A 14505-nucleotide genomic window follows, 5' to 3' on the forward strand; every position below is an offset into this window, starting at 1 on the left:
GTTTAATCTTTGTAATTATTACTTTCATCACTATAACGTGTATTTCAGCAAGAAGAAAAGTAAATACAGAGGTGCAGGGTAAAAAAACAATGATAAGTATAGAAATGGATGAGTCACAGTAATCTATACACTTAGCTATTAATTGTGGAAAAAAATCTTTTGTATTTTGAAAAATAGTAAAATGAAAACTCTAGTGAACAGTAATAAATTGGGGGGAGTAATCAATAGATATTGAAAGTCTGCTAAGGCTCTTGTCATATTTGGGGATAGGATAAAATTACTGAGTAACTTCAGACTTTGTTGGAAAAAAATTAGATTGCAGTACAATGTATACATTGCAAACAGTTGGAGTAGAAAAGGAGGAATGTAGAGCATGATCTCAATTTAACAGACAGGAAAAAGGAATGAAAAAAATATGGTAAATAGAAACCCCAAATTAAGGATGTAGATATAAGTCCAAATACATCAGTATTCATGAATTTAAATGGGTTAAACTTACTAAAGACACACATTATCAGATTGGATATTTTTCAGTTAGAGAAACCTGAAACAAAACCACACCAAAGGGTGAAAATAAGGGGCAGGAAAAAGAGATATCAAGCAAATAATTATCAAAAGAAAGTTGGTACAGCAATATTAATATTATGTAAAATAGAATTTATGAAAAAAGTGACAAGCAGTAACAAAGAGGGGTAGTTCCTCAATCAGGAAACTTTATGAATTAAGAATTTTTATGTATTCAACATCATAGGCTTAGTACATAAAGCAAAACTGAAGAATTAAAAGTTAAGTTTGACAAATTTATAACCATGTTAGAAGATTTTAAGTGACCTTGGTCAGAAACCAATGGGTTACGAAGTTAAAATGTGTAAAGATACAGACAGTCTGAAAAGGTGGTTGACAAGTTTGATTTATATTTATTTTTAAAATTTGGTAGCCATAAACATATATATACACACATACACAATTATATATGTATATGTGTATAAACACACATGCAGAACCATGCACATACATGGAGTTTTATATGCAAATGTCAGAAGTGTATAGTCATATGGATTTCTAAAAATTACTTATGCATTACTAATTGACAGTCAAAGTCTAAACAAATGTCAAAGAATCAACAACATAAATAGAACTTTGCCTGCCTGACTTCAGTGTAGTTTATGTAGAAAGCAATAAGAAAGTATAATAAAAATGTTCCATATTCTCAGAAATTTAAAAATATACAAGTATAGCTTCATGGGTTAAAGAGAAATATTAGCAATAAATTACAAATTACTTATCACTGACCAGCAATGAAAATACTTTGAACTGCTCAAATGTGGGGAACCATAGTCACTTCATTATGGAGAAACTTGGTATTCCCCACCTAAGCCGTAGGATCACTGTTAACATTAGAAAAACAAAACTGATGATGTTAGCTAAAAGGGTATTTGTCATATCTTTCGCTTTAGATATGTTTATTTTAAAAATTGAAAATGGAAATCATCAAATTAAGTGTTCAATTTATGATGCTAAAAATGACTTTATTACAAAAAAAGTGGAAGGGAGGTGGGTGTATAGTCTTTGAATATCCCCAAATCTTACCAAATTGAGAGAGCAACTAGAATAGCAAAACCAAATACCGCAGACAACATCTACAACACAATTAGGTGACAAGTTCTCCCTAAATCCTCACAAATGCATGGGAAGTCACAATGAACAGCTAGAAGTTCTGCACTGTATCAGAAACAGGTAGTATAGGGACACAGCAGTACTTGAGAGAAAAGGAGAGCTTCCTTAGGGGTCTCTCAGAGAACAAACTTCCACAATCAAATTTACGGGAGAGACTTTGGCTCAAAGTACCAGTATCACTGTTCATCAGTGACTACTGACGTCATCTGTCTAGGAAAACAGTGGATCTCTACCTCACACTAAATCTTCAACATAATGTGGGAAGGTGGATTAGACATTAATATAAAGGGACAACCACAGTTAACGTGTCTCCTGAAGGAAGGATACAATACCAACTATAGAGTCTCCCCCAAAATGTTGGACTTGAGTCTGATTAATTCTCTAGACCCAACTACCATATGTGTAGGACATATTCAGGCTGTGGGAAATTGTGTAGCAGGTCTACTGGAGGTGTGATCTGCAGAATGAAATAAATAGAGGACTCAAGAGTAAGTACTAGGAAATGTTTAACCAATGCTAAGGGTTTAGAAATGTTTATGCCATTGTATTCAAGCACGTTATTAGTGGACTTCTTTTGTTGAACAGTGTGTGTGGATGGGTTCAAGTGTCCTTAAATACTCTTGGTGTGTTGAGTGTGCCCAGTCTATGCAGTAGCAGTAGGCCCATGTATCAGTTTGTGATCCTTGGGAAATCTAAAACTATTCCTTTGCTATGGCTTGAGAAGCGCTGCTCTATGGGATAAAGGACCCAATTTCTTCAAATGATTGCAAGAAAAATAAAAGGGGATGAAAACGATACCCGTAGATTAAAAGAAAGATCTATCAGTCACAATGTGTAGATCCTATTTTTAAAGAAAAAAAAACCATGACATTTGAGACCACTGGAAATTTGAGCACTGACTAACTGAATATTTGAAATTCAGTTCTTTTTTGTTTTTATTTTTTAGATGTGATAAATGGTATTGTATTTTTATGAAGTCATTTTGTTTTAGAGATACATATTGAAATACCTAAGGGCAAAACGATCTGATGTCTGTGATGTTCTTCAAAACAATGTGGGAAGGTGGATTAGGCATTTGGAGATGGATGTAAGAGGATTAATAATTGTTAATTATTGAAACTGGGTGTTGGATGCAGAGAAATCATCATCCTTTCTATTCGTGCATACGTTTGAAAATTTCCAAATAAAAGGCTAAGGGAAAAGACTGAAGGAAAACACTGGGATCCGTCAGTCAGTCAAAAACATTGGCTGAATATGTACTGGGATTCAAGACTGTAAGAAGATATCAGACAGTCATGAGATGGTCCCTGCTTTCATGGGGAAGACAACTATTAATATAAAAAAAGAGTGCAGGATAAATTAAAGATAAAAGCATTCATTACATGTAATAGAAAACTGAAAGCAATTAACTCTAAAATTAATAGCCTTTCCTCCATCAGCCTCAGATGATTTTACACAAGTTTTTACCAAATCATGAATTACTTGTACAATCTGTTTCAGAACATAGAAAAGAGAGTCCTACCAAGCTCATTTTATGAGGTTAGACATGTTAATATCCCAACTAGATAAGAAAGAAAACTTTTGAAGTTTCATCATTATGAACATAGATTATTCCTTTTTAATGAACAGATATAGAATTATTAAATGAAATATTTGAAAATTCAATTCATTGATTTATTGTGTCCTACCACATTATTATTGCATATACATTACATTGTACTGTATTAACTGATATAAGGAGAAAAAGCATGTGATCATCTCAATAGATATAGAAAAATGATTGCATTTAATGTCTCATGACATTAAAAAAGCATTTGATGACATTAATGACTCATGATAAAAACTTTTAGCAAATTAGAAATAGAGGGAAACTTCCTTGACTTTACAAATGAAATCCATGAAGCTCTTACAGCAAACATAATTAATGGTGCATCATTCTAAATATTTCTATCCAAATTAGCCACAATTCAGGATTCCTTCCTATCACTGTTCATCATTATGTGGTAAATTCTAGCTTATGCAGTAAGCCAGAAAGAGAAATAGAAGGCATAAGCATTGGAAAACATAGATAAAACTGCTTTATTTGTAGAGGATTTGATGCTTTACCTAGAAAAAGAATATACAGATCAACTATTAGAACTTACAAGACAATTCAACAAAGTTGTTGGATTCAGGGACAATATAGAAAAATTAATGTTTTTATCCATAAGTAAGAACCAATTACCAAATATAATAACACATTTTATTTGTAGTATCAACTAAAATATTTCAGTACCTAGGTATAAATCTTGCATCAGATATTTGAGATATTTATGGATAAAATTATTAAATATTATTAAAAGACATAGAAGAACATAAGGAGAGATTTACCATATTTGTAGATTCATAGATAGGAAAACAATATCATGAAGATGACAATTCATCCAAAATTAATCTACAAATCCAGCGCAAATCCAACCAAAATTTTCACTGGATATTTTGGAAAAATTGAGGGACTAATCTTAAAATTTATAGAAAGAGCCCCAGGTATTAAGACTTATACTTGTGTAGTTGTAAAGATAGTTTAGTAATGGCACAAGGTTAATTGGGTAGAGAACATTGCAACAGCTCTACTTCATATTTGAGAACTTATGAAATATAAGTGATATTTCATATCACATAAGTGGGAGGTGATGGATTCTACATTAATTGTTCTGAGACAGTTATCTCTATAGGAAAACAGTGGATCTCTACCTCACTCTAAATCCATCAAATGGATGGATTAATAAGTCATTTGTGAAAAAGAAATCTTTAAAACTTTTGGAAGAAAATATAGGAGATTGTCATTTTTACTCTGATAGAATATAATATCATAAACATGAGAATTCTTGAACAAGAAAAATCCATAAGGGAAAAAAGTGCTAAAGTTGGCTACATTGTGTTAAAACATCTGCCTAATAAAAGTCTCCATAATCAAAGTTATGAGACATTTCTACGTGCTGGGTGGAGATATTTGCTGTGTTGTCAGACATATTCCTACTGGATTCTTTTTTTCATCCTGAGACTTTCTTTTACATGATCACTACCAATCTTCTGTCAATCTTTCGACACTGTTCTCCTTTCTGAAAATGCATATAGGTGGTGAGCACACGTGTGTGCTTTTACTATTCTTTAAACATGTCATACTCATATACTTTTATGTGTATGATTTATTGTGTAAGAAGAAGGCACATGACTGGCTGATAAACAAGGACCAGCTTTATCAATAAACAAGAAAATGCAAATTAAAACAACCAAATATGATTCCAAACTCAGCAGATTAGCAAAATTTGATAATCCTCACAATACCAAAGGCCTAGAGGAACTGTCCATCTTATAGCCTTCTATTGGGAGTGTATATAGTTACTGCCACTTTGGAGGGTAATTTGGTAGTTTCCAATGAAAACAAAAATTGTATGCTATGTGATTTGGCATTTTTTTCTTTAAGTGTTAAAAAGTCTCAAAAACCCATCAAGAGGAGCAAGGATAGATAAAATGGGCTCTGTTTTTATATTGAATACTTTATAGCAATTAACATAAACGATCTAGAGGTACTTGTATCAACATGGATGGGTTTTAATGCAATCTTGAGGGAAACAAGTACACCGCGAGTGGTACTAAACTATCATATCTTTTTAAATGGATATTCAGAATGCACCCAATAACAAAAACATGCCCGACAATGTGTGTTCTTATGGACTTGCTTATATTCTTTCTCATCTGTCTTTGTCTATTTCTCTTTTTATGCACACAAACACAATTTTTCTTTAATCCAGCTAGATAAACATAAAAGTAGATGTGAAAAAATATATGGAAATAATAAACACAAAAATCAAGGTCGTGATTATTTATGATGTGGAAGGAGGGTGAATGAGATCAGGCATCATATCATTCTTTGCAAACAATGCAATATTTTATACTTTTTAGGAGCATAGAAGGATTTTGAGACTTACATGTTTGAGAACCACTGTTCTATAGCTTCCAAACGAAATTTTTAGAAAACATTTGAGACATTTAGTTTGCAAAGAATGGTGAATTTCAAGTATTTGGCAGGCCCACCAGAGGAAACTCTTACAAATCCTGTGTCTATTTAATCTGATTAAAAATGTCAGTTGAAACATGCATGTGTGGACCAGTGCTCAGACAAGTTCTGTTTTCCCACTCTCCCTGGTGGCACCTTGTCGTGTTTCACCAGATGCACACTTGTGTGTGGGCCCTGAGGATGGACAGAGGAGTTGCGTGAGAGACAGGCATTCCGCAGGTTGTTCTCCAGTCTTGGCTGCAGACTGTTTGCCTCCTTATTTTGTCTTCATTCCCCTTTGATAACATCCTCTGGGTCTGTTTCTTCCAGGATTTTTCTGTCGTGTACACACATGTGCAGGCAATACTTCCTCCTGAATTTAAGACGATTCATAATGAGCCTTCTTTTCTTCCAGATTCTGTCTCCATTATTATTATTATTATTTAAAATTCTAAATGCCTCTTGTTTTCTTAAATTTTATACAAGAATGTGCATATCTGTTTCTTGTCCTTCTTGCTAGTAGTTCTCAAACTTGAGTGTATTAACCAGTCTTGGTCCATGACCGAGTTTTTGTTGATTTTACAGGAAAATAAAAAATATAAGAGCAATATACCAATTTTTATAAAGGTATATTTATTTATTTTAAAGAGCTCTCCTCTGTTCTAGGATGATTTCCTTGCCACTTTCCTGAGTGTTAAAATGCAATTTCTCTTATGAAGTGATGGTGATAGTATTTTAAGCATATGCCTGTACTTGGCAAAATAAAGCATTGCCTACCTTATCTTAGTCCCTATAATGTTTTGAAATTTTTACCAATCTATGAAATATATAACCTTACACCTTAACAAATGAAGGCATAATTGTGGAGAAGTTATAAATATTACATAATTAATATATAATTTACAAATATTCACACAGAAATAAAGGGAAATCTTTTCGGAAAAGAGGATGAGTGAAGGTGTACAGAGAAGTAAGCTTTTTGTATAATTTTGACCACAACCCATTACTGGAATGGCCCTTCATCAAGAGGTGTGTGTTCAGTTCATATACCACCCACCCCTTTAAACATAATCATGCTCATTCGCCATTTCCTCATGGAGGGATTTTAGGAGCGTAGAAGGATGTTGAGACTTACACGTTTGAGAACCACTGTCCTCAAACCACTGTCCTCAACCACTGTGGGTGAGGGGCTCCTTCCACGGAGGCTGCTCCTGCCCTCACGATTCCTTCCCGCTGGAGTGAGGCGCTTCTTTTTGAACACCCCTTTGGCATCCTTTGTGGTTCATCCTTGTCAGAAAAAACCGCTGTCATTTATCATTAGAAAATCTCACTTTTGCTGCCTTTGATATTCTCTCCCACTTTCCAGATGGTTCACTGGAACCCTCCTGTTCTTGGGCTTCTCTTTCCAAGCTTCCCCGCTGTTACTCTTGTAGTGAGCCCATGGTTGTCTCTTTATTCCTGCTTTCTGCTCTGAATCACTTTTCTGTCTTTCAGTGAGTGACAGGGTTTTATTCTCCACCGTGTGGTTATTGGGTTTCCTTAATAGCCTCATGTGGAGGGGCTTTGTTGAAGGCATTTTTATTCGGCTTTGACAGATTATAGTCCCCATGTTTCCCTAATCTCTTCTTTAAAATATTTTAGGAAGCATTGTCCCTGTCAAAGACACACTTAAATTCAAACAGCTTTTCCTTTTTAAAATTATTTTTCTCTGTTCACATGTTTACGTAGTCCTCTGTCTTGACAGTTAAGTGAGAGGCAACTGGTCATAGTGAGGAGTCCATGGATTTGGGAAATACCCCATTATTGGAGGGCAAAGCATGATTTGGAGGACCGTTTGGAGAGAGACCCCTTTTTCTGTGGCACAGGGCTTTTGCAGATAATTAGTCTTTGGCTACGACAAGATGGAAACTATTAGGCTCTTAGTCTGAGACTCATCACTGCCTTGTAGCAGTTTTGCCCATGACCCTTACTGGGCTTTCAGCAACTCACTGCCTTGAAATGTTAGTTTGTGTGTGCCTGGTGTCTCCAGCTGGTTAGTCAACTCCTTAAGGGTGCCACTCTATCTCTTTTTGTGCCTGATCTTTCTAACCCAGGATTCTGCACAGAACAGCAATGTCTCCCTCTTTCTGGGCTGTCAACTTTCACTGAAAAAAATGACAGCTAGCACTGTTAACTGCATGGCAGCTCACCTATCTGCTTGTCTAGTTGGGTATTCTCAGCTATAAGAGCACATGTGTCTGTTAGGGTCCAATTCTGATATGGAAACCGCACAGTAACTTGATCAAGGAAAGCATAATGTAAAGAATTACAAACTCCAACACAGAACTTGGGTAATCAGGGATTGGCCAGTAAGAGGTAATGAAAGAGTCCAGAAGTATTATCTATAAGGAGGAGCTGCTACCCTTAGGACTAAGACGGGGACCCAGAGAAGAGCCCCTTCCTCCTTCCCGCAGCTGTGGTTCACTGAGTGGCTCAGAAGTGCTAGTAGTGGTGCCATGCTGGTGAAATTGCTTGATATCCACGCTCTGGAATGTACCGAAATCTGCTTTCTTGGGTGTGGGGAAAGTTAATTTGGGAGACTTGTCTTGTGGGAAGCACTATGCTATGAAAATGATCAAATGGGGTACCGAGGAGAGCAGCTGGCCATTGGAGGAGCTGTGTTGCCACCTGCACTGCAGATCTGGGCAAAAGAAGTGCAGGGTGCCCAGTAAGAATACCTTCCTTTGCCATGTCCCTCCAGCGACCTCTACTGACAAAGTTTAGCATTTTGCCAGCTGGCAAAGGAAAATATTTCAAGGACTCAACTCAGTTTTCACAGAGCAGGCAATGAAGGATTGATTGTTTTGTGTAGGTGATAAGTGACAGAGTCAGCTTGCTCCCTTTCCTGAATGTCTAGAAGCCTTTAGGGAGATAGGCTATCATTTATGCAATTACATGAGTTGCTAGGGAAAGTCATATTTATGGAGGCAAAATATTTGTTCTTAATTCAAATTTAATATTTCTGAAAACAATTAGGTAATGGGAAAGCTCTCTAGTTATTCGATCTTAGTAGATGGAATACACAGAGAATAGAGGATGTTCTCAAGGGTAAAAGCTTGTGCTCCTGAACCAATAATAGCATCCAAAGAAAAACAGATTAATATTCTTTACATCTCATTTCTCTAAGATCTCAGGAAAATTATTGCCATTTACATTCTACATTTGTTGTTGAAGGCTAAGAGGGCCTCATTAGGTTTACCAAATCCAAATAATTACAGTTAGAGACGGTGTTTTTTTCTACTAGCTGAAGTGATGTGTGAAAATAGCAAAAATATTTTCACAGAGAAATTATGCTCTTTAACAGTAAACTTCACGCCTTGCTAGGAACTGCATTTCTCTGCCTGGTGTGTATCATCGAATGCTACTTGTAGGGATGGAGTGGTCTAATTTCACATTTCGAGCTTGGTAGGTGCAGGTGGGCTGTAGGTGAAAGGGAGTTTTCTTTACCAGCCAGCCTCAAAAATGGCTAGCAGCCGGTGCCACTCGCATAGTGTTGAATTATATGTCCAGATACCCCAGTCTACTCACAAATGTAAAAGACTACACTCTTGCTATTTGACCAAGAATGCACCCTGTACTGGGTACTTTCATTGTCTTCGCTCCGAGGCTTCGTCCTAAAATCTGCTTTCTGTGTCATCTCCCTGACTCATCCTGGGATAGGTCTCTGCAAAATTGTAAACTTTTGTTAGTTTAAATGAATTTGAAAGGTAAGATAGTTTTCTTAAACTAGATACATCATCTAAATACAATGTTAGTCTTTAGCTGTATATTTTAGTTTTTATAGAAACTTTATATAATCTTATATAAGATCAATAGTAGTTCATTATAGCAATTATTTATTTATTTATTTATTTATTTATTTATTTATTTATTTATTATGAGACAGAGTCTCGCTCTGTCGCCCAGGCTGGAGTGCAGTGGCGCGATCTTGGCTCACTGCAAGCTCCACCTCCTGGGTTCACGCCATTCTCCTGCCTCAGCCTCCTGAGTAGCTGGACCTATAGGTTCCCGCCACCACACCCGGCTAATTTTTTGTATTTTTAGTAGAGACTAAAAATCCTGTTAGCCAGGATGGTCTCAATCTCCTGACCTCGTTATCCGCCCGCCTCGGCCTCCCTAAGTGCTGGGATTACAGGCGTGAGCCACCGCGCCCGGCCTATAGCAATGATTTCTAATTTTCTTTTCTTTTCCTATTTGAGAGTCTGATGAGAAATTTGCATACTCCCCAGAAACACACACACACACACACACACACACACACACACATACACACACACACACAGATGCAGAATTTTTTATATAGTTTAAAGGGTTTTATAGGCTTATTAGTTAAAGGGTTTTATGGGCTACTGGATTAGATTATGAAATTTGAAGTCAGGGTCAAGGAGATAGTTTTTGCTTTTAATAGGTAATTCCCAATCTCAGTCTGTAGTAAATTGGAAAATCTGTTCTGGATTCTTTCAGCAATCCTCTCTCTTTCCACATCTGCCACTTTTCTGTGACACTTCTTTTGGGTCACATTGCCATGCTGGGGTTATGTTTGGTGGTCGATTATGTAAGTAGCAACGGAAGTTAGGGTTAAGTTAGCTATAGGAAGGCAGAGAATGCTGCCTAACTTGGGTATGACCAGATGTCAGTTATTAGAATGATTGGAGATTGAGAACCAAGTCAGGAGTTCAGAGTCAGAGGCAGTGTAGGAACAGGAGGCTGGGTTGGATGTGTTGGGGGAAACCAAGGGAAAAGTGGAAAGTCTCTCTCCGAGGGCTGGGAGCATTCCTAAGTTGTGGTCATTTCTGGACCAGGAAATACAAAGAGCTGGTTTCTGTTTAGAAAGCTGGTGAGGCGGACAGATAGCCAAAGAGCAGACTCTGGGACAGTGGGCAGCATGGGTCCTGCGGGGAGCAGATCTTGCCATCCATCTGGTAAACACTGGCCCTTGGAATCTTGTTATGTGTTGGACTTTAGATAGCGTGTGTGTATTCTTTAAGGTTTATGAGCTATGCTTAAATCAAGCAGAGAAAGATTTACGTTTGACAAATGACAAGGAACGATTTCTCACCATAAAGATTTTGAGTGAGAGAATGAGTTTCAAGGGAACTTGGGTTAACCTTCTCCAGGGTGATGCTTCTTAATATTTTTATGCTGTGGATTTCCAGATAAGGTAAAAGACCCTTCAGTTCAGTTATCCCAACTCTTTCATCTCTTTAATGCAAAAGGAACTCAGTGATAGCAATGAGGTGTCATTTGGGAATTTGGTGGTAGGACTATGTAGAATATGTATCCCTCTCCTTTGGTAATAGTAGTACAAATGATTTTTATTTAAACTTTAGTGTCTCAAATATAATCTTAAAATCTAGTTGTTAGATATTGATTCTATCATGTCAATTTACACACAGTAAAGTCATCCATAATGATGTAGCTAGAGTAACAGTGATTTATTATTAAAAGGCCTAATAGTATGTGAAGTCTACAACCAACTCAGGCTACCACTGAAGATCCACTGATAGTTTACTTCTTGGAATCGTGGAGATTCCACCTTTTGAAGAGTGCTGCAGGGAGTAGAAGCTTCTTTGTTATTGTCTGTTTATATTAGTCAGGGTTCTCCAGAGCAACCGAACCAATAGGATATAGCACAGATATATAATAAAAAGATGGCTCAGGAGGACAAACATTATAGTTTGTCACAATCTGAAGGTTGGAGAAGCAGAAGAGCCAATGGAGTCCAAGTCTGAAGACAGGAGAAGACTGATGTCCCAGTACAGGGACAGTGAAGTAGAGAGAATTCTTTCTTCCTCAGCATTTTATTCTATTCAGGTGCTTGATGGATTGGCTGAGGCCCACCACACTGGGGATGGCCACATGCTTTACTCGCTTTGCCTGTTCAAGTATTAATCTAGTCCAGAAACACCCTCACAGACACATCCAGTAATGATGTTTAATGAAATATCTGGGCACCCTGTGACCCCGTCAAGTTGGCACATAAAATTAACCATCATACCATTCTTGGGGATCTTCATGGTGAAACACTGAGAGTCCTCAGTCAGTTCTAATTTATATGTTCTATCGATGCCACATTTTTATTAATAACTCCTAGTGTACCACTTAGTCAATGACCAATAAATAGCCTCTATTTGTACATAAAAGTATAAGAATAAGGAATTATGCCTTTTTTACCCTTTAGGACTGAATAAAGGACTGGAACTTTTGGCCGCTGGCCTTTGGAGCCCCTCCATGGCCTGGACATTATATCTTGAAAATGTTTGTTTTTATAGCAGTGCTTGTTATTCTCCAGAATAACACCAGCTTTTGAGCTAGCGAAACGAGAGGCAAATCCTGGCTGTGCAACTCAGCCTCTGGTGACCTTAGATAAGTTCTTTAACGTTAACACTCTGAACTTCAGCGTCCATAACTAAAATGAGGACAACTCTTGAGTGGTGGTGAATGAGCCTGCCACGCTCCTGACATTAGGAGGTGTTCAGCTAATGGTCGCTGCCCTGCCCATCCCCTTCTGTGTATCTTACAAATAGTTGTCTCCTCCTTTTGTGTTAAGTGTTGATCCATCTGAGCATTGTCAATGTCAATTATGTATCTTGTGGGTTGTCCTTTTTAGTTCTGATCTACTTTTTTTTTTTTTTAAAGCCTTTGCTGTCTTTTCTGTTCTTTCCCGTGGTTGACTGATTAGTAATGTGTCTTCTGTCACCTTCCTATAGAACAGGTGATGGAATTTAGATGGGGCCTTTGTCCTGTTATATTTTGCCCACTGGCATCATGAATGAGCTGTTTAGCCACCTGGAGAAGAAAATGCAATCTCTTTCTCTCTGTTTGATCTGTCATCATGGCCCAGGAAGAAGATGTTGAGAGATCATAATTTTAAAGTTGACAGCAGAATGGGTGAAGTTTTCTCCTACTTTACATGGTGGTTGTCATGAGAACCAGTTCACACCAGAATGGGGTGTTTTTTGTTGTTGTCATTGTGCTTTTTGCCTTGACACATGGAGATATTTAATTTCCATGTAATTTGTGTGCAGCTTCCTTGCTTTGACGGATTGAAATTTCTGATTCTCTGTAGAGGCCAGAGCTTGGCAGTAATATTAATCTACTTCCTTTTCTCCTAGGAGAGCCCCTGAGAGAAGAAAAGTGCTGGAAAGTATAGTCATTGCGATATGTCAGGATTAATAAAAGCAGGCAAAGCAAATGGCCAGATTTCCAAAATACCCAGCAGCATTTGGCAGTATTTTTGGGGAGGCCGAGTTCAGGCAGCTGCCGATGCCACCCCACTGAGAGCACTGCGGAGGGCAGCCTCGCCTTCTGCCGGCCACATGGCTGTGTGGAATCCCATGGGATGGAATCTGCTGCCCTTAGGATTTCTATTGTCCCTGGCCTCTGGAGAGCACATGTTTTGGTCACTAAGCAAGGAACTGAGTAGCCTCTGTGATGTGTTCAACTTGAGTTTTCTGTCATGGAGGCTTAAGTAGGGGGAGATATGGACAGGCCATGTTGGCCAGCGAGGACTTGTTTGAGTTGGAAAATAAAGGTCTGACATAGGGTTTCCCTGAGAAAGCTCAGACTGAAATAGGAGGAACCTGTCTGTTTGAAGCTTGAGCTTCTAATCTAGTATAGCACCCTGACAGCCAGTATTTTGTTCAGCTGCCTGGCAGAAGTTGTTTCTCAGCCACCAATGTATTTTTGTAGCATCTTTCACCACAGAATACTGACTGTTTCACATCTCTTCCCATTAATCCACTGGCACAAAGTCTCATTGCAAGGAGAGGAAATGAGACAAGCAGCAGGGAGAAAATAAAGTCTGCTTTTTGCAGTATAGGGCTTTAGTGCATTTCTTCCCCTGTGCTCATCTCTGTAACTTGATTAATTGGCATGTGGTGCATTACAGAAAATCCAGGCAATGGCAAAGCTGGTTCAATATCAATTAGTTAAAACAGGGAGGGACTTCCCATAGAGACCTTAGGACAGAGTTGTATTTAACTGGGCCCTTGAAACACAAGTCTTCCCGAATGATGAGCAGTAGAAGATCCTACTTAGGGCCCAGTTGGTTAAAGAAATTGAAAACTGTAGAAATTAGCAGCTGAAATCCACTTGGATGAGTTTGCTATCCCTTTAATATATCTGTCTATTCATCTTACTAAGGCATCCCAATCCTTCCTCCAAAGTGATTTGAATACTTAATATTTGCTGAAATGCTTTAGTTGGATTTGAATAATGTAATTGAATTTGCTTGCTGCATTTGGGGGAGATGAAGGCTTGGGAGTTTCTTTTCTTTTTTTCTTTTCTTTTTTTTTTTTTGAGACGGGGTCTTGCTCTGTCACCAGGCTGGAATGCAGTGGCATGACCTCGGCTCACTGCAACCTCCACCTCCCAGGTTCAAGCGATTCTTCTGCCTCAGCCTCCCAAGGAGCTGGGACTACAGGCATGCACTACCATGCCCAGCTAATTTTTTTTTGTATTTTTAGTAGAGACGGGGTTTCACCATGTTGGCCAGGATGGTCTTGGTCTCTTGACCTCGTGGTCTGTCCGCCTTGGCCTCCTAAAGTGCTGGGATTACAGGTGTGAGCCACCACGCCCAGCTGGGTGTTTCTATGGTAAGAAATGTGAGTGTGCTTATGTTTAGCAGTGATTCTTATTTCTCTGTATGTGAACCAAGGATTAATAAGCAGTAGACCTGCCAAGTATGTGAGGCTGTATTCATCACAGTTACGGCCTGTGTCTGTCACTCTGCAGATGACTGGCTTATC

At 38.0% G+C, this 14505-nt stretch overlaps 1 protein-coding gene across 23 annotated transcripts in view, besides 1 other annotated feature; it reads left to right on the forward strand.

Annotated features, from left to right (window-relative positions):
• Positions 1-14505, forward strand: part of FARS2 (phenylalanyl-tRNA synthetase 2, mitochondrial) — a 521650-nt gene that overhangs the window by 121451 nt on the left and 385694 nt on the right. The gene's annotated exons all lie outside the window — the stretch shown is intronic.
• Positions 8197-8296: an enhancer, noted in NCBI's record as "active region_23906". NCBI's record gives its function as "activates an Ori minimal core promoter by ATAC-STARR-seq in GM12878 lymphoblastoid cells {active_cell/tissue: GM12878}" and the evidence as "EXISTENCE:reporter gene assay evidence [ECO:0000049][PMID:35858748]".

This window comes from Homo sapiens, chromosome 6, assembly GCF_000001405.40.
Source record: "Homo sapiens chromosome 6, GRCh38.p14 Primary Assembly".
NCBI classification, from domain to species: Eukaryota; Metazoa; Chordata; class Mammalia; order Primates; family Hominidae; genus Homo; species Homo sapiens.